The sequence below is a fragment of the Homo sapiens genome, chromosome 3, assembly GCF_000001405.40.
Source record: "Homo sapiens chromosome 3, GRCh38.p14 Primary Assembly".
Classification (NCBI taxonomy): Eukaryota; Metazoa; Chordata; class Mammalia; order Primates; family Hominidae; genus Homo; species Homo sapiens.
In genome coordinates, this window is record NC_000003.12 from 175,553,728 (window position 1) to 175,575,498 (window position 21,771).

The window sequence follows — 21,771 nt, forward strand, 5'->3', positions numbered from 1 at the left end:
TATATGATAATATAAATTTTCCATGTAGTTATTTTTAAATATATTTATTTTTTCTTTTTAAGGATGTTTATATTTAAAACATTATCAGTATTGATTAATTTATTAATTTGAGAAATATTTATAAAGCGTCTTCTATCTACCAGCCATATTATTACAAGATAGGGGCTTTTATGGAGTATGCATCCTAGTGGAAGGAGTCAGGTGATATACAGGGTAAATAAAGAAGTAAACACAACATTATCAACTGATAATGAGTACTATGTAGAAAATTTAAGCAAGGTGACATGATAGGAAGTGGCTGACTGCTTCATATTGGATGGTCAAGGAAGTCTTCTGGGAGGGGTCTTGTGGGACATTCAAATTAATAGTGGAAGGAGCTGGCTAAATATAGACCAAGGAGACAAGCATTCTAAATATTGGAACCAAGTAGTCCTAAGTGGAGGATGTTAGAGGGTGAAGCAGAGTACAAGAGGAGACTTGTGAGGCAGCAATCGGGAGCCATGTCAGGATGGGATTTGTAAGCCAGGGTCAGTTTTTCAGTTCTATTCTGAATGCAATGGGAAGCCCTTGGAAAGTTTAACTCAAGAGGGAGCATTGTGGCAGGATTCACATTTTTAAAAATAAGCATTATTTTTTCAAAAGCATTTTTCATACTACTTGCCTTTATAATCATTATCTTTAATAGCTACATAATATATCATGACATGTAATTTAAGCGTTTATGTTTTGGGGTATTTAGGCTATTTCTAATATTCCCTACTTATATAATATATTCAGAAAGTATAATATAATATAGGTAATGATATAGTCAGTATCTTTATGTAAATGGCTTTCTTCTTCTGGTGGGTTACATGGGGGTACCTTCTCAGAAATAGGGTCATTGGGTCAAAGGATAAGAATATCTTTTTTCAAGTACTTAATACACCCTGATAAATGATGGTACCAATATAATTTATTGTAGGGTTAACAACTTTAGAAATCATTTAAAAATCTTGTTAATTTAATAAGCAAAAATCCCATAATTACATTAGTACATATTTAACTTAAGATAAAAAATACTGCTTAAAGTGAAAAATAATAAACACAGCTGTATGAATTCTAACTTATCTCAGTTTATATGTATATATTTTACCTGTTATCAATTGCTATTTACCTTATTCTAACCTGCTATCCTGGTCTAATTAGAATACACTGTGCTGTTTTCAGATCTTGGATAGCAGCCTGAATCTTGGCAATGTAAATCTAAGAAAGACTTTTATAGATTTTTCTCAGAGTCTCAGGGATAGGATAATTTGGCATAAAGCTAGTCACTTTAGGGATAGAAGATTGCAAGTACTTTCCAAGTCTACTTTCTATGAGCCAAGACCCTATCTATTGGTGAGTCCCTAATGTTTTTGTTGTTTTTGTTTCTGTTTTGCCTTTCTTTAAGTGGTTTCATGTCAGAATGAGGGAATGATACAGTACTGTTTGGCTCCATGTATGTGAAACAGAAGCCCACACTTAATTGACAAAGTGATCACATTAGTAATTTACCTGTCCACTATAGTGCTCAATTATCAGAAAAGAATCTTCTAATTAGCAATTCTTATTGCTAAAAACTTCTGTCAGTCTTTCAAATAGCAGTGAGTACATTTATTGCATTATTTACTAACCTCTTTGCTATTGCCACAGATTTCTTATCTGTAGTCAAATGTACTGAATTTGTGTTAACGTCGTGAAGTAATTTTCAAACCCGTACACTGTACCCTTTAAGGCACTCTTTAAACAATATATTCCTTATCATTTAAACATTTCACATGGGTAAGCATTTCCTACCCAACTGTATCACAAGCTCCTTGACAATATAAAATACATATTTGTTCATAAGTTATGTTTTCTAAAGCATGTCATACTTAGCACATGTATAGTAAATAGCTGTTGATTGTGCAATGATTATAAAATATGAAAATATATATATACACACACTACACATATATATGTATATAACATAAATATCTCTGATTATTTACTGGGATGCATATTGCCGATGACCCTGAGAGATTAAAAATGATAATTCTTAATTACTTCTTGAGAAAGGAGCACAATCTTGTCTAATTGTTACTGTCATATTTGGCTTATGGTTTCTAGGCACTAGGATTCTTAGCGGAAAATTTTACCTTCTGTTGAATGTTTGAGATTGGAACTGAATTGACTTTCCAAAATGAAAAAGCCTCTTAATTCCTCTTAATTCTTTGTTTAAACTTCCTTTAACTTTTAAGAAGCCATTTTGAAGGATTGTTGTACTGATGCAGCCAAGCCAGAGAACAGCAGACTCCAGAGCTAAGGGCATCGTCTCTGGGTAGCCAGCGACTCACTTCAGCATTTATTAATGGGATCAGCACCATACAGTATAAGGGGAGGTAGTGATAACAGCCTGTCTCTTGCTTCCTCCTTGGCACACATTCACTAAGAAAATAAGGTTCAAACAAGGGAGAAGCTTTTGAAGCAACAAGTATTTAAAAAATATTTTGAAAAGTCATGAAGACGATTTAAAAAAAAAACTGAAGTAGGAGTCAGGTTCTACTGGAGCCTCTACTACCTGCTGTTTATGATTATTAGCAATTTTTTATCTATCCATACCTCAGTTTCCTCATCTGTCAGATGACTATAATACCCAAATTACCTCAGAATACTATAAAAATGTAAGATTCTTTAGGTTGGAATCCCGTCTAAAGTGCAAAGCACTTAAAGAATAAGATAATATACCTTAAAAAATAGCTCTCAAGCTAATAGTTTATAAAATAGTAAAATATACACTTTTGATTTCAGATGATGGGAGTTGCACTCCAGGTGGAAAGCTAGTATAGATTTCTGTATGAAATTGTTACTGCCATTTAAAATTGACATCATTTTGCTGAATGCCAAATATATAACAAAAAAAAATCTCAGGAAAGCAGACTCGACTATGGGGAATAAAGTTATTTTTGAAAAAAGTCTCATTTCTCTGAAGTTTAAAAACTATCTTACAAACTTTTCTTCTATATATCTTAACTGTTTTTAGAATAGTAGCAATTCACTTGATTTCTCTAATCTCTTATCCCTTATTTATTGGTGTTAACATTAATGGGGATAATTTTCAGATGGTTTTAACAGTCTCATTCTTAGAAACAGTTCAGGAAAAGTCTTACTGCTCTCTGCACAGCAGGCAGCACAAACAGAATGACAAAATGTTTATGCTGACAAAGCCTAGAAATGGGACCAAAGCTATGCCTTAATTCAGGGTTTACACCAGCTCATTGTCAGTTTTGAAAGTATTCATGGAAATGTACATAAAAGTGAACCTAAATATGTAATAAGTGTGTATGAATACATCTGTACAGACATTCTCTAAGACTAGAGAGCAAAGACTGACCTTCGATATATTTCTCAACTCAAAATCTGCTGTAAATAACTCCTATAAAATATCCTATGGAAAATACATGCTCATTATGTTTCCTTTTCACCTACCAAATTTATCTCAACATTTCTGTTCTTTTAATTTATTTTCATTTTTAATTTTTGTGGGTACATGGTAGTTGTATATATTTATGGGTTACATGAGATATTTTGATGCAAGCATGAAGTGTGTAATAATCACATCAGGGTAAATAGGATATCCATTACCTCAAGCATTTATCCTTTGTGTTAAACACAATCCAATTAAACTCTTTTAGTTATTATAAAATGTACAATTAAATTATTTTTGACTATAGTCACCCCATTGTGCTAGCAAATTCTAGGTCTTATTCATTCTTTCTAACTATTTTTTTTGTACCCATTTACCCTCCCCACTTTCCCCCAATCCCCAACTACCGTTCCCAGCCTCTGGTAACCATCCTTCTACTCTTTATCTCTGAGAGTTCAATTATTTTAATTTTTAGTTCCCACAAATAAGTGAGAACACATGAAGTTTGTCTTTCTGTGCCTGGCTTATTTCACATGACACAGTGACCCCCAGTTCCATCAATGTTGTTTGGTTCCCATTTCTCCACTTCCTTGCCAGCATTTGTTTTTGCCTGACTTTTGGATAACCGCCATTTTACCTAAGGTGATATGATACCACATTGTAGTTCTGAAGTGCATTTCTCTGATGATTAATGATATTGAGCACCTTTTAATATACCTGTTTGTCATTCGCATGTCTTCTTTTGAAAAATGTCTAATCAGGGCCGGGCGCGGTGGCTCACGCCTGTAATCCCAGCACTTTGGGAGGCTGAGGCGGACAGATCACGAGGTCAGGAAATCGAGACCATCCTGGCTAACATGGTGAAACCCCGTTTCTACTAAAAATACAAAAAACTTAGCCGGGCGTGGTGGCGGGCGCCTGTAGTCCCAGCTACTTGGGAGGCTGAGGCAGGAGAATGGCGTGAACCCGGGAGGCGGAGCTTGTAGTGAGCTGAGATCACGCCACTGCACTCCAACCTGGGCAACACAGCAAGACCCCGTCTCAAAAAAAAAAAAAAAAAAAAAAAGAAAGAAAGAAAGAAAAATGTCTAATCAGGTCTTTTGCCATTTTTAAAATCAGGTTATTAGATTTTTTTTCCCTATAGATTTGTTTGAGCTCTGTATATATTCTGGTTGTTAATCCCTTGTCAGATGGATAGTTTGTAAATATTTTCTCTCATTCTGTGGGTTGCCTCATCACTTTGTTGTTTCCTTTGCTGTGTAGAAGCTTGTTAACTTGATGTGATCTCATTTGTCCATTTTTGCTTTGTCTGTGCTTGTGGTGTATTACTCAAGATATCTTCGCCCTGTCCAATGTCCTGGAGAGTTTCTGCAATGTTTTCTTTTAGCAGTTTCATAGTTGGAAGTCTCAGATTTAAGTTTTTAATCCACTTGAATTTGATTTTTGTATATGGTGAGAGAAAGGGGTCTAGTTTCATTCTTTTGCATATGGACATCCAGTTTTCCCAGAATCATTTATTGAAAAACACTGTCCTTTCCCCAATGTATATCCTTGACAACGTTGTTGAAAATGATTTTACTGTATATGTATGAGTTTATCGGTGGATTCTCTATTCTGTTCCACTGATCTTTGTGTCTGTTTTTATGCCAGTACCATAATGTTTTCATTACTATAACTCTGTAGTATAATTTAAAGTTAGGTAATGTGGTTCTTCCAGTTTTGTTCTTTTTGCTTAGAATAGCTTTGGCTATTCTGGGTCTTTTGTGGCTCCATATAAATTTTAAGATTTTTTTGTTCTATTTATGTGAAGACTGTTATTGGTATTTTGGTAGGGATTACATTAAATCTGTAGATTGCTTTGGGTAGTACGGACATTTTAACAATATTGATTTTTTTCAATATATGAACATGGAATATCTTTTATTTTTTGTTGTCCTCTTCAATTTCTTGCATCAGTGTTTTATAGTTTTCATGGTAGAGATCTTTCACTTCTTTGGTTATAATAATTCACAGATATTAATTTTATTTGTGGCTATTGTAAGTGGAATTACTTTCTTGATTGCTTTTTCAAATTGTTTGCTGTTGGCATATAGAAATGCTACTAATTTTTGTATGTTAGTTATTTATTGTGTAATTTTTTTTGAATTTGTTTACTAGTTTTTAAAGTTTGTTGTTGTTGTTGTTTTGCTGGAGTCTTTAGGTTTTTCTAAATATATGATCATGTCATCTGCAAACAAGGATAATTTGACTTCCTCTTTTCCAATTTGGATGCCCTTTATTTTTTTCTCTTGTCTGATTGCTTTAGCTAGGACTTCCAGTACTATGTTGAAAAACAATGCTGAACATAGGCATTCTTGTCTTTTTCCACATCTCACAGGAAAGGCTTTATGTTTTTCCCCATTCAGTATGATATTATCTATGAGTCTGTCATATATGGCTTTTATTATGTTGAGGTATGTTTTTCTATACCAAGTTTTTTGACGGTTTTATCATGAAGGGATGTTGAATTTTATTAAATGCTTTTTCAGCATCAATTGAAATGCTATACAGTTTTTGTCCTTCATCCTGTTGAAATGGTGTATCACATCGACTGATTTGCATATGTTGCACCAATCTTGTATCACTGGGGTGAACCCCACTTGATCATGATGAATGATCTTTTTACTGTGTTGAATGTTATTTGCTAGTGTTTTGTTGTGGATTATTGCATCAATATTCATCAGTAATACTGGCTTATAGTTTCCTTTCTCTTTTTATGTGTCTTTGTCTGGTTTTGGTATCAGGGTAATATTGGCCTCATATAATGAACTTGGAAATATTCCTTCCTACTTCATTTTTCAGAAAAGTTTGAGTAGCATTGGTATCAGATGTTCTTTAAATGTTTGGTAGAATTCAGCAGTAAAGCCATGGAGTCCAAGGCTTTTCTTTGCAGGGACATTTTTTTATTACAGTTTTGATGTCTTTACTTGTTATTGGTCTGTTTTTGAATTTCTTCATGATTAAATCTTTGTAGGTTGTATGTGTCAAGGAATTTATTCACTTCTCCTAGATTTCCCAGTTTAGTGGCGTAGTTGATCATAGTAGCCACTAATGATCCTGTAAATTTCTGTAGTATTAGTTATAATGTCTCCTTTTTCATCTCTGATTTCATTTATGTGGATCTTCTCTCATTTTTTCTTACTTAATCTGGCTAAAGGTTCGACAATTTTTGTTTATCTTTTCAGGAAATCAGCTTTTTGTTTCATTGATCTTTTTGTCTTGTTTTCATTTTAATTTCAATTTTGTTTTCAATATTGTTTTTATTTCGTTTCAATTTCATTTATTTCTGCTCTGATCTTTATTATTTCTTCCCTTCTACTAATTTTGGGTTTGCCTTGATCTTTCTTTTCTAGTTCTTTCAGATGCATCATTAGGTTGTTTATTTGTTTTTTTCTTCTTTTTTGATGTAGGCACATAGCTATAAATTTCCCTCTTAGTACTTCTTTCACTGTATCCCCTGGTTTGTTTCAAGAAAGTTTTGTTTGCAGTGCCGCAATTTCAGCTCACTGCAACCTCCGCCTCCCGGGTTCAAGTGATTCTTCTGCCTCAGCCTCCCAAGTAGCTGGGATTACAGGCACGCGCCATCATGCCCAGCCGATTTTTGTATTTTTAGTAGAGATGGGCTTTCACCATGTTGGCCAGGATGGTCTCTATCTCTTGACCTCATGATCCACCCACCTTGGCTTCCCAAAGTGCTGGGATTACAGGCGTGAACCATTGCGCCCAGCCCATAACTGAACATTTCTAACATTATTTGAAGTGGGTTCAAAAAGGAAAGTAAGGCGAGACGACAGACTATTTGCTTACCTTATACGATTTGAATAATGTATTCTCCCAACTACTGTCTTATCTTGAAAGGTGGAAAACTGTCTAAGGCCTGCTATTGGGAAAAAATTTGGTTTATAAATTTATAGCAAGTTTGAAAATTGATATAGTATTATAAGTGTTATATACAGTTATTGGAGCATTGGTTCTAAGACATCCTATGGGTGCCAGAATACAAAGATACCAAAATCCCTGATATAAAATTGGATAATATTTGCATATACCCTATGCACATCCTTCCCTATACTTTAATCTCAAGGTTACTTATAATACCTAATACAACAGAAATGCTATGTAAATAGTAGTTACACTGTGTTGTTCAGGGAATAATGACAAGGAAAAAAAGTCTGTACATGTAAGTCTGTACATGTTCAGTATAGGCAGAATATTTTTTCAAATATTTTTATTGAAACTAATTTTTTTTAGTGGATTCAGTTTCCAAAACCCAAAAACATAGTACCTGCTTGTTCCCTTATTTTGTAAATGTTAGATGAAATATAACAGCACATTTTGTAGACAGTACTATCAATAGATAGTATTTCACAGACATGCTATCTACAAAATATGCTGTACAAAATATGTATACTGTATGCAATATCTATAGAAGTATGTATATAGAATTGGTCCATTATATCCATGGCTTCCACTTCTGTAGATCTTATAAACATGCCAGCCCTACCAGATTAAGGCCCTACACTTATGACTTAATTTCACCTTTATCCTCCCCTCATAGACCTTATCTAAATACAGTCATTTTGGGAATTAAGGCTTTAACATATGACTTTTAGGAGGGAACACAATTCAGTCCATAGCACTTTAAGTGAAATCACACAGGGTATCTTTTTTGTGTGACTAGGTTATTTCACAGCATAATGTAGACTTCAACATTTGATGTGTTAAATTTGAAGTAATTATTTGACATCCAAGTGAGATGCCAAGGTGGCAGTGGTGGGAGGACATACTAAATAATCATTTGTGTGCTTTTTGTGTCTGTCTGCAAAATGCCAAATTCAACACAAAGTCTCAGATCAAATTAGTCTGTATTTGATCTGACTCTGTATTTCACAGTGATTTCAGTTCCCGATGTGGGTGGGGAAGAGAGAATTTCCAAGGTAAATTTTGAAATCTGACTTTTTTGGACTCCCAGTATGGGGTTAAAGAGTCAAGAATACTGGACTTAGAAACTATGGTGGAAATGTTGGTCTTATCACTACCTGAGTGACAATAGATGATTTACTTAATCTCTCTTAGCAATGATAGCTTTAAAACTGATTGAAGGTAATTATAAAGATATTGTATATGAAACCACCTGGTGAACTGCAATAAGTATTTAGAACTACAATAAGTATTGTTAAATCTAAATGTATTTTATGTATTATGTACATATTATTATGTATATATTATATGACATATTTTTAAATGTTAGATCACTACTGTTTTGATATATTTTTACCTCTTTTGTTTTCAGTTATACCACTATTTTTGATACTATTTTTTCTTGTTTTCCAATCACAGATTTATCTTGATTCAATTTATATTTTATTTAAATATCTAATGAGTTTATATAGATTGCAAGTACAATATCAATTTCTGTAATTATGTAGTGTTAGAAATTGCTCTGTAAATAAAGGAATTTTATTAAGAAAAAATATAATTTAGGAAATTAAAAAATGCATGATAGAAAATTTCTTGATACTAAATGAACAAGTATGTAATGATTATTCTATGATTTCTCAGGAGTAGATAATCATCTTTTACTCAGCCTAAACCCAATTAAAAAAAGTCTTCTCTATTCTTATATTGTGTAAGGAATATAAAGGGAATATAATATTGGAAAGATTTGACTTTCTAAATATGATCATTCTACATCTTAAAAGGCAGGAGAAAACACAGTTTTAAGTAGATTTGGTAGAAAGGATTGTCAAAAATATAGGAGGGGTGTGTGTGTGTGTGTGTATGTGTGTGTGTTGGTTATGTAGTAGTAATGATAATTTATAATAATTACAGTATGTAATAAGTGCTTTACACTAGATGAGTGCTTTTATATTTTGTATAACTTGGCATTATTTAATTTATTCTCTTTAGTCTTCTAATATTATGAACATATTCCCTTTTCACATTTGGGAAATTCAAGGCTTCAAGAAGTTAAGCAACTGCCCTGTGGTCATACTGCTAAAGAGAAGCATCATTGCTTTTTAAGGGAGAATGCAAAATTGTCTATCTCATCTGCAGTCATGGCTTTGATTGCTCTTTTGTATTTATCTCAAGCACCTACTTTTCACAAGGTATTTTGTGATGTCTGTACACACTTACTGACTTCCTACAGATGCCTAATGGGATTCACAGTTTACTTGAAAGCAGGTTTTGCCCAGCAAGAAATTAAGAAAGAATGTTTTTTAGAATTGTTATGATTCATAAAACTACCTGAGGTCAACTTCAAACTTCCTGCACTTTGGCACTCCGAGTCTAATTATTTTCAGGTCTAAGCCTACTCTAAACTGGATGGTGTTTGTATAGTTCTAATCTTCTTTACCATTCTGTCCCAGTGGAAGAATTAGATAATAAGTGGATTGACCTCCGTTTTACAAACTCTTTTAAGTATCTATTTTATTGTGCTGATCAATATAGGGGCAATAGAAAGAGAGACAAAAGAAATTCTCTGCCTTCAAAAACATGTAGGAGAGGCAGAAAAAATACAAAGGTGAACTAAGTTAAAACAGTGATATGAGTGAAAGACTCCTTGGTACAGTCCGACCAAGGTAATGGCCCTTACACCTGGAGCAAAGAAATCTAAACCTTCAAGGATTAGCATTGGGGTGTGAGCTACGGGTAGTATTTGGGTGTCCTATACACAGTGCTCCTTGAATACAATGGTGTCCGCAAAGGTCTAATGGGCTCACTCCAGCAAAGCTATCCTGAGGATAGCAGTTAGTTTGGCCCACAGTTTTAAGGTTATGCGATGATGCTGTCATCTGTCAGACTTGGACATATTACTGCTGATGGCGTTATTTCCTCTGCCCGATTTCTCACTCTCAGCATTTAACCTGCTTGAAATGGTAATGTGTGGTGATATGCCATCCACATCCTTTTGCCCTTCTGTTTGCCAAGTCTGCATTTTTCAATTTTTTTTCTCCCTGTGCCCTCCTAAAATTAAACGAATTACCTCTAAAAAACCTGAGAGCACCTACCTGATTTACAGCTGCCCTCTAACCCTGGTCACAGAGAGGACAGCAAACTTTTCCCTGGTATCTAGTGAATGATGCTAATACGCAAAATAATTTGAAATGTTTCTTTGCTTCTGGTTTACTTTTTAAAAAATACGTGATTTTTTTAAAGGAAGGTACTAAACTGCTTCATCTACAGAAGATTTAATTTAAATATTTCATTAAACATATTTGCAGTCTGAGAGAGTTAATATGGATTTGAAAACCAGTTAGATTTTTCAGTTAATTTTTTTAATGCCTGGCAGCTGGAATACATCACTGACATGCTGACACCATATTATTTAAAATAGCATTGCCTGTGAGCCTAAGAGAAGCTATTTAAGATAAACCTCAAGAAGGCTGGTGAAATAATAGCTGAAGTTATGTTATGTCAGCCAGTTCCTCAGCATGGAACAGCATTGTGAGGCCAGAGTTGTTATCCTTCACTGAGACATAAAATCTATATCTTGATTCTTTTGGTCATTTAAGGTCCTATGGGAATTGTACCCAGAGGGAGTGTGCTTTTATCCAGGTGTCTGGTTTATCCAGTGTCTTGGCCAAAGGTCAAGATGGATGGGACAGTCGTATCTTTTCAACGTGTTCAAAGTTTCATTTAGATATGATCAGAGTACAGTTTTTGGAAAGGCTCTGGATTTGTCATTCTATATGTAGTTTGCAATTTGTGAAGAAGTAGGTTTAGCTGCTGGAGTGACCAATATCAAACCTGCTAAAAAAGTGCCAATGTGGCAAAGGAATCCATGGAGTCTTTTAATCTAATAAATTATTTTAACTTCCATTTCTTTTACATTGAAAAGGTAATTTTAGTTTGGGTGATTAATCAGCAGCTTAACAGCGCTTTTTCTATAAGTTGAGGAACTTATTCCTTGTTCCCTTAGCTAAATGGGAGGAAAAATCTTTAGGCCAGCAGTGGAGGTTGAAGAGAGCAACAATCTAAGTTAGAAACTTCTGCCTGCCATTCCATTCACTATTCTTATGTCTATAGGGGATAACAAAACTTTTAGTCTGTAAAATGAAATAAAAAGAACTCATCTCATAGAATTGCATTATCATCTAATATGATGTCCATTTGTAAATGGTAAGTCCTTATATAATTGCCTCCTTGGACTGAGTGAGGTGTTCCATATTTAGCATATTTTGATAATACATTGATACTTTCCTAGAAAATGCACACACACACAAACCGTGTAAGCAAGAATGGTCCTGAATTATAATCATGAAATGGATGGTGTTTTGCTTTCCGTGTTGGCCCACCATCTTTTGACTCTTTATTCTCTCCTGGTGTCCTGCTGGTGACTTGGGTTGTCAACTTAAGTGTCCCTTACCCCAGCAGAGGCCTCATGCTGTTGTCCATTCCCAAAACCTCTGTAAGAGACCCTGTTTTTCCCTAATAAAGTGGCAATTTCTCTTATCTGTTCTCTCCCCAGTGATATATGCATTTTTGATGGTCCCAAATCTGTTTCACAACTCTAAATACCCAATTTCTCCACTGTTAGGCATTTCTTCAATTGTGAATATTTCTGAAACTGGGCCATATCTGTTACATGGTTTGTTTATTCCCTATGTCCAAACAAAAAACAAAAGCCCCCCCCCTTTTTTTTTTTTTTTTTTGAGATGGAATCTCACTCTGTCCCCCAGGCTGGAGTGCAGTGGTGCGTTATTGGCTCACCGCAACCTTCGCCTCCTGGGTTTAAGCGATTCTCCTATCTCAGCCTCCCGAGCAGCTGAGATTACAGGTGCATGCCACTACACCCAGCTAATTTTTGTATTTTTAGTAAAGATGGGGTTTTGCCATGTTGGCCAGGCTGGTCTTGAACCCCTGACCTCAGGTGATCCACCCACGTCGGCCTCCCAGAGTGCTGGAATTACAGGTGTGAGCCTCTGTGCCTGGCCACAAAAGCCTTTTTAAAGCCTTTTTTCATACTATATTTTACAATCATGGGAGTCTTAGAATTGGGGACACGTAACATATAGTTCAGAGGGAATTTTAAAAATGTAACATTTATTTTTTGGAGAGTTGCTTCATTCACAGAAATACAAAAGTAATAAGCAAATTGACAATGGGCAGTTTTTCTTCTAAACCCATTCCTCATACCATTGTCTCTCCCCAGAGGCAAATGGCATTTGAACATATTAGAGCGTATAGACTTTTATTTTTAATGTTTGAAACACAAATGATATCTTACAGAATATCTCAGCACATTATTTTTTAGGTAGAAATGTATCTGGGAGATTGTTCATTATCAGTGTGTAAACAGATTCATTTTTCTTTCTAAAGACTGTATATTATTTCATTATATGTGTGCAATCTAACTTATTTAAATTTTATAGAATTTGTATTAATTTTTTTCTTCAGTATGAGGCGCCAGATTTCTCACAGTCCTTCAAGACACAGTCCATATTCAAACAAACTTGACAAGGTTTTTGGGACTAAATATAAAAGTCGCTTTATGTGTCTTTTATGTATAAAGGCATTTATAATAATTTTTTCTGGGTAATATCAGTTCATCTTCATTAATTTTTTTATATCAGCATATCTTTCTTCTTTATATATTATAGAAGCTAGCTATTTGTCTGTTAAATAATTTGTAAATATTTTTCCAGGTTTTCATTCATGTTTGTTTATGGTAATTTTTGTCATACAGAAAAGTTATAATTTTACGTAGTAGGACTAATTAATCTTTTTTATCTTTTGAGTTTGTGTCATATTCAAACATGTCTTTTTCATTCTGAGGTTATTAAAATTATCTTCCATTGTTCCCACTACAATTTTATGATTTAGATTTTTACATTGTAAAGATGGATTCATCTGGAACTTACTGTGGTTTAAAATACTGTAGAGTAGGTACTATTTTATTACTTTACTGGAGGTTTTTACTTAGATGCAACAGTTTGGTTGAAATCTGAATATTTTCTAATGTTTTAAAAGAACAAACCTGTTTTTATTGTTACACGAAGTCTTAAGTGGAGAGAGAAAAAATGAAGAAATCCATCGTCTTCTATCTTGTGACTATTGGTGAGGGATCTTGAACTGGTCAGAGAAGAGGAAGAGGAAATGAAGGTCGGTTGTTGAGGGAGTAGAGAAGAAAACACCAGCTAGAAGCTGGAGTAAAAATAAGAGCAAATATTTTCGTATTTCTCTATTTTTTTTTTCTTAGAGATTGATCCTTAAAGCACTCATTAGTACATAATGAAATTTTAAATTTTAAATAAAAAGTATTTCAAATATAAAAGAACATTTTTCTATACCCGATAACAAGATTAAGGTCGTATAAATTAACAGAAGAAAGATGAGAATTAGAGGGTGTTTTCCAATTTGGCAATGCTACTTGTGTAGACTAGAAGATTAGCAATTTTTCACTAAAGCTGAAAATACTTTTTGTTAACATCCAGTAAGTAGGTTTTAAATCTTTGCTGAAACCCTGAGAAATTGGAGATTTTGAAAACCCCATATTATGGGTTGAATTTTTCTTTTTCTTTTCTTTTTTTTTTTTTTTGAGAGAGAGTCTTACTCTGTCACCCAGGCTGGAGTGCAGTGGCACTATCTCGGCTCACTGCAAGCTCCGCCTCCTGCATTCAAGCAATCCTCCTGCCTCTACCTCCCGAGTAGCTGGGACTACAGGCGTGTGTCATAACACCCCGCTAATTTTTGTATTTTTGGTAGAGACACAGTTTCGCCATGTTGGCAAGGCTGGTCTCGAACTCCTGGCTTCAAGTAATCTGCCTGCCTTGGCCTCCCAAAGTGCTGGGATTACAGGTGTGAGCCACTGCGCCCGGCCCCAAAAATTTCTATTTTATGATAAGATGAAATCTGGTTTTCTTCCCTTACCCAATTTAATCTTTAATAAAGGCATTGCAAGTTATATATTAATTTTTAATTTTTTTTTTTTTACTATTCTGGAGATATTTTGTTTATGAGAAGCTCATTAGATGTCGGCATTTAGAATAACTTCTAGTATAAAATAGTAGAAAAAGTCAGTAATCATAACCTTTTGTTTTCTTTCAAAGATTATTAGAAGACATCTGCAATGCATCATTAAATATTGGGTATTGGGTTCACATTTTGGCATAAAAATACAAGTTAAATAAATGAAGAATACATGGCACACACAGTAAATAAGTATTGAAGAAAAATTATAGATGCGTAGTTTGTTACAACTAGATCTGGTGATGCAATATGATAAAAATTTAAAAAGACCCATGGAATCCTAAAAAGGACACATTTAGAAGTAGTTTATTCCCATGCGTTAATGTGGTTTGTGAGCTGGATATATCAATATAGTACATAAAAAGGAGCATTGCATTTGAAGTGAAAAGTTCTGGGATTAAATCTCAATTCTATTAATTTGGGGGCCTTAATTTTCTAATTTGTAAAGCAAAGCTATTTTGCTAGGAGAGTTTCCCTGCTGTGGGCTATTTTGGCAAGCTGCTAAGCCCTATATAGACCCAGTCTCAAAAATTATGTTTCAACTGCTTCAGTTAAAATGCACAGGGTTAAAAGGAAAGCAATGATATTAAACTGCAATTACCTAAGTAACATACAAATTTGCATTTTTGTAATATATAGGCTTTTTAAAATTAACACATTAAATGACAAAAGTCAGCAAAGTGTCTCATAACTGCAGTATTTCCAAATTAGCAATAAGTTCAAGTGATATTTCAATGTTTTGGCAATAACTGAAATATGATATAAAAACATGATTTTATTTGGTTGCAAAGTTACAAGTACTACTAATATTGTAACAAATGTTACTGGGTGCGTGGCCTGTTTCATAATTGAATGGAATGTTGAATTTCAGTTAGAAGCAAGTGAAAATAAAGATTTTTATTTTTTTCTGGTTCACCAAGTTCTCAGATCTTTAATTCTATTTGTGGATCTCAGGGTAAGAACCCTTGGGCATTAGGATCTTTAGGTTCTTTTCTCAGTTTCACGTGTAATGATTTATCCATGATCCTTCAATGTTTACATGTTCACACTGCCCAGGACCACATCTATAAAGTTCTAAACTAAAAATGTTATAACAAAATTTTGTCAAATTACCTCCAGCTAATCAAATAACACAATTCTTCTTACTACCATTAGTTAGAAATTAAAGTTTAATTTTTCACTAGTTCTAATGAAAATTTCTTAAAACAAACATAAAGGTGACCTACCATCTAAGAGTGCCTATGTTAGTCAGAGTTCCCCAAAGAAACAGAATCAATAGGATATATCTTGCTATAGACTAAATGTTTGTGTCCCCTCAAAATTCACACGTTGAAGACAAAATCCCCAATGTTGATGTTATTTGTGGGTGGGGCCTTTGGAAAGTACATAGGTCATGAGGATGGAGCCCTAGTGAATGAAATTAATGCCCTTATAAAAAGAGAGGTAGATACAAGATCTCTCTCTCTCTCTTTCTGCTCCTCATCACGTAAGGATACCACGGGAAAACTGGCATCTGCAAACCAGGAAGAAAGCCTTCTCTAGAACTTACCGTGATGGCACTCTGATGAACTTCCCAGACTCCAGAGCCATTATAAATACATTTCTGTTGTTTAAGCCACCTGTTACAGCATTCTCTTATAGCAGCCCAGACCAACTAATACACACACACACACACACACACACACACACACAGACACTTTATATATACATTAATAACATAATTATACAGTAATATATAACTATATGAATTTGTGTGTGTGTGTGTGTATTTGTAGATATAAGGAGATTATAAGGATTTGTCTCATGTGGTTATGGTGGCTGACAAGCCCAGAGATCTGCGGTTGGAAAGATACAGAGCTAAGAGAGACAATAGTGTAGTGCTTGTCTGAATTTGAAGGTCTGAGCACCAGGAAAGCTATTAAGTTTCAGTCCAAAAGCCAACAGGCTTGAGACTCTTAAAAAGCTTATTTTTGGGGGGTTCAGAACCAAAGAAAGGAAAAGACCAATGTTCTAGTTCAAGGCAGTCAGACAGAAGGAGTTCTCCCACTCCCCTTTCTTGTGGGAAGGTCAGCCTTTTTGTTCCATTCAGGTCTTCAGCTGATGAGATGAGGGGTGTCCACATTGAGTAGGGCAATCTGCTTTACTCAGCCTGTCAATTCAATGTTAATTTAATCTAATAACACTCTCATAGACATACTCAGAATGATATTTGACCAAATATCTGGGCATCCCATGGCCCAGCCAAGTTGACACTTAAAATTAACCATCACACTGCCCTATAGCAAGAAATCATTTTTTTAACATCATTGGTGTCATTGTAATAATTGGTACTTTACTATACTGTAAAAACCAGGAAAACCAGTGAGATAAATTATTTCTACAAAATTGAACTTACAAGACTATAACTGAAACGAAAAGAAAGTGACTTAATTTTGGCTGGGCGAGGTGGCTTACACCTGTAGTCCCAGCACTTTGGGAAGCCGAGGCGGGCGGATCACGAGGTCAGGAGATCGAGACCATCCTGGCTAACATGGTGAAACCCTGTTTCTATCAAAAATACAAAAAATTAGCCGGGCGTGGTGGCGGGCGCCTGTAGTCCCAGCTACTCGGGAGACTGAGGCAGGAGAATGGCGTGAACCCAGGGGGCAGAGCTTGCAGTGAGCCAATATCGTGCCACTGCACTCCAGCCTGGGTGACATAGTGAGACTCCATCTCAAAAAAAAAAAAAAAAAAAGTGACTTAATTTTATTATGGTGTATTGAATATGGTATTTTTATTTTGAATGTTACACTTTTCTTGCTGTTTAAGTAAATAATCAACTTAAATTTCCTGTGCATGTAGAGTAAATGCTTATGTATGCAGGAGAAAGCAGAATGTGGGGAAATAAAACATTTGAATTATTAAGCAGATTTTAAAAATACTTTTAGAAACTTGTCAATTGTCTTGGCATCACTATTTAACTAATGCAAGTATTGACTTAATTTTTTTATCTTACATGATCATTTACTATAAAGTTTTGCCTTTCATCTTAAAACTGTACTTGCAAAGAGCATACAGATTTAGGACTGAGGTAGTGATTTCATTTCAGGTCTTCTATGGACTTGTGGGTGGAAAATTAAGCTAGTGACATAACCATGGTCCTTGCCTGAACTTGCCCCTGTTATGAACTGGAATAAAAATGCTTGTTATCAAACATTAAATATGAGGCATTTTGAACTCCTTGGATGAAATTCTTAACATGAATTTACTCAGCCTTGTAAATAAATTTTAAAAATTAATTGACCTGCACAAATTTGCTGCCAACCTCCCCTCTTCCATGGTGCTTAACTTCTAGTAAAACAAAGAAAATTAACATTTCTTCCTACTAGTCTCTCAAATATTAATGCTTATGAGGGTTGAGTAGATCAATGTCTATTACCTCACATGGATCTGTTATAATCCACTGAAGTGCTGTGAGGAAAAACTATTCACATTAGGATTGAATATAGATTTACAATCACTGCAGGTCTGTGAATTTGGCCTTAAATTCATTACATTAAAGTAATGAATAATGAAGATTTAGAGAATAGTGTTTCTATGCCAGGAATGTTTTTCTCTTAAGGGAAATCCCTAGATAAAATGACCTTGGGAAAAAGAAAAACCCTCAAATCTGCAAATTGGGTTCCTAGCTTTTGGGTTATCTGGGCAAATTGGGTTATCTGACTTTTTAACTTTGAAGCTAGTTAGAAACAAAAGCATGAAAGGACAAAATGAACACAGGTTTGAAGGTAATGTGCTTCTTCCCCTCATCACTGGTTAAATTAGTGAGAGTGGGAAGTAAAGAATGAGGTAGACAAAGAAAGAGAGAGGAGGAGAAAAGATTGTGTGTGGAGTGGGGATGGGGTGGGGGAATGGTGAGTTAAGTCCTCTGCAAGGCCAACAGAGAAACTCTGGGTTCAGTAGGTGAGAAACAAGCTCCAGGAGTATTCCTCAGAAAACTGTGTTGTCCCTGAAGCCTCCATCTTGGTTTGGCTTTTTTGAAGCATTTTCCCTCCCTTTGGGCTTGATGATGACATGAGGCGGCTCAAAAGTTAAGTGCTCCCAGCTATCAGTCACTCAACCCTCTTTTTCTATATGCTATCCCCTCTCCATAAATAGTCCACATGTAGCATCAGAGATGTAGTTTAATAGATCTTAACCCTCAAAATAGAATTGTAAGATATTTCTAGATAATGCTCACTCTGTTGCCATCTTAGTTGGTTTACCAAAAAAAAAAAAAAAAAGTTTTTATATGGCAGAGGCAGCAATATAAACCTTTAGGGAAAAAATTAGACTTTTAAATAAATAGGCAAGGCAGAGCAAACTATAGTAGGAAGAATGCAGAAGTGTTTGGGGGAGTGTAATCTTGAAAGCTGAATGCTGCCCTTTTGATTTGCCTGAACAATACAAAACATGTAAATAATTATGTACTTAAAAGAAACCATGGAAATGGAATGCAATGAAAATATTGAAGCTAAATGATAGTAGCTATAGCAAGAACAGAGAGACTAGAAGAGAACTCACAGTGGCTTCAGAAATAACAGGCTGAGGCTAAACCAGAACTGTGCTCTATGTAACTGTTAGAGCAAACAAATGTTGCAAGTAGCTGGGCCCAGTAGTCCCAGCTATTCAGGAGGCTGAGGTGGGAGGATCCCTTAAACCCAGAAGGTCAAGCTCAGCCTGGGCAACATTTAGCAACATAGTGAGACTCTATCTTGAAAAAAAAAAAAAATTGCAAGGATTGATTGGAATGGGGTCATTTGTGCAATGTTAGAAAGGTGCATATGTAAGAAACTAACACCTTTTGTCAGAGGGCAGCTATTATATAACTAAATGTTTATATAACTAATGATGACAATGAAAATATCAAATATTAAACTTAAATGCAATGTTTATTTTTTAAAAAATAATTTTTAATAGGCACATATTGTAGAATTTGACATTGTTAATTTTTGACCATGACATTTTTCTGTTGAGAAAAAAATTTCGATCTAAGGAGCATGGCTGAGCATGGGTGGATGTTAAGAGTTAACGTATGTAAAACAAAATTAATGCCAAATCTATATTTTCATTTATGTTGAGTAGGATGCTTTTGCTGTCTTGAAAAGACATACATGTTACTTCATTAAAGAGAAAGTAGGTCATTTAAAAATGATTTTTACTTTCATCAGTCAGGCATCTGGAGAAAGTAAAGACCAGATCTTATCATATCCTCATTAATGACATAAAATGGTGCAACAATCTCGATTTCACAAATTCAAATACCTCTGGCCCTATTCAGTAAATCTGAATGAGTAGAGCAGGCTCAATGTGAGACACTAGTGATGGATGTTAATAAATGTCTTGCCTGCCTCAGGCATTCAAATTCAACTTAAAAACAAAGAACAACAACAAAAACCTAGCTAAACAAATACCTCCAGAGGTGCTCGGGATTTATAACATGATATAAAATAGTTTGTTTTTCATGTTCTAGTGCTTAAGACTAGCTCTTCTTTGGGACTATTCAAGACCCTCTCTAAACTGTCCCAGCTTAATATAAAATCCCCAGGAGTCTTAAGCCAGAGGAATGTGTCAGAAAGTGAAAAAGGATTACCCCCACTTTCGAAAAATTCAGCTTTGAAAAGAAGCAAATTGCTGGTGGGGGGTGGGGGTCACCATAAAAAGGATTAAGTTGCTACTGATTAGACTGTATGGTAAAAACATTCTTTTTCTATTTCCAAAGTGGTTAATCAGCCAAAATAGTTGTAAACACATTAAGCAGAAACACTGCCTTGTCTGTAAACTGAAACCCTGACTTGCTTGTAAAGGTTCATACTGGCTTTCCATTTTAATTGATGTTTAACTTTGTTGCAAAGATCTTTCCATTAGGTCTTCAAAGAAACTAGATAGTTATTAAAACATTATTATATGTTTATAACATCCAGCACTGTGGTTGAAAAAAGTTGGAATAACTTATTTTCTTAATATTACACCACATATTTTCAAGTCTTTTGATAAATATTAGCAAAAGACATGGTGATCTGAAAAGGAAAAGTGGGGAGCTTTATTTTCTATTAAAAACAACCATCTGCAGACTAGGGAGGCACAGCTTTTAGTAGAAGTGAAAGTGTATTTTCTGAAGAACAAAGGGAGGGTCTAGCTTAAATAGGGAAAATTCCCCACTCAGTTCTCAATCAGGCCTGTTTATGCAAATGAAGGATTCAAACTTGTTTAGTTCTGATTGGTCAAAATAGTAGAGTACTGATTGGGTGTTTTCTATGTTCCCAGAACTCTCTGTCAAACTTTTGATTGGTTGTTTTCTATGCCCCAAACGAGAACTCTGTGTCAAACTTTTCTTTCAAAGGGCTGGTGAGGGGTGGTTTCCAGCTCCAGTTTCTCTTGTGTCTGGTTACAGGAACTGTTCTGGCTCAGGGTGTAAAGCAAATGTTTGTGGAGCTGCTTTTTCCAAGAATGGAAAAAGCTTTTTCTCACTCTAGTAAGTCCACTTGCTTCTGTTTTTAAATTTCATCGTCCCTGTTAACCACAGGGACATCTACCTCCCCTGTAAAGCTTGGGTCTGATTTTATAGTTTTATTTTATATAGATTATATTTAAAAGTATTTTTGAAATTATGTCACGCCAGAGAAGCATGAGAGGTTGAAAAGTTGATGTCTTGATTCAAAGGCAAACATGGATTGAGTACATACTTTATGCGCTTGTTATGACACTTGATGTTCTTATACTTATTGTCTCATTTTCTCACAACTGTCCGGGAGATTGCTATTCTTCCACGTTTCATAGTTGATGCCATTGCATCTCAGAAATGTTCTAGATTTTTGAGAAATTTATTAAAGAAGACATTTTAATGAATATTAATTATAAAACCCTTTAGTTTGTTTCATTTTCGTAAAGCTGCTGTCATTTGTTTTGCATGCCAGACAACTCTTAGTTTAAGAAATAATAGCCTATATCATCTTATATTCCCCAGAGCTTGAACTTAGCTGTGTGGTTCACTATGGCCCACTGTAGTTGTTGGCATATAATTTTAAAACATCTAGGAATATGCTTTCAGGAAGAAATGAAGAAAGTTTCTTCTCTAGTTTTTTATTTTTATTTTTATTTATTTATTTGTTATTTATTGAGATGGAGCCTTGCTCTTGTTGCCCAGCCTGGAGTGCAATGGTACACTCTCGGCTCACTGCAACCTCTGCCTCCTGGGTTCAAACAAGTCTCCTGCTTCATCCTGCTGAATAGCTGGAATTACAGGCTCCTGCCACCACACCCGGCTAATTTTTCTATTTTTAGTAGGGACGAGCTTTCACCATGTTGGCCAGGCT

The 21,771-nt window shown here is 35.0% G+C and overlaps 1 protein-coding gene across 23 annotated transcripts in view; it reads left to right on the forward strand.

Annotated features, from left to right (window-relative positions):
• The window catches only part of NAALADL2 (N-acetylated alpha-linked acidic dipeptidase like 2), a 1,369,567-nt gene that overhangs the window by 1,112,746 nt on the left and 235,050 nt on the right, over nt 1–21,771 (forward strand). The gene's annotated exons all lie outside the window — the stretch shown is intronic.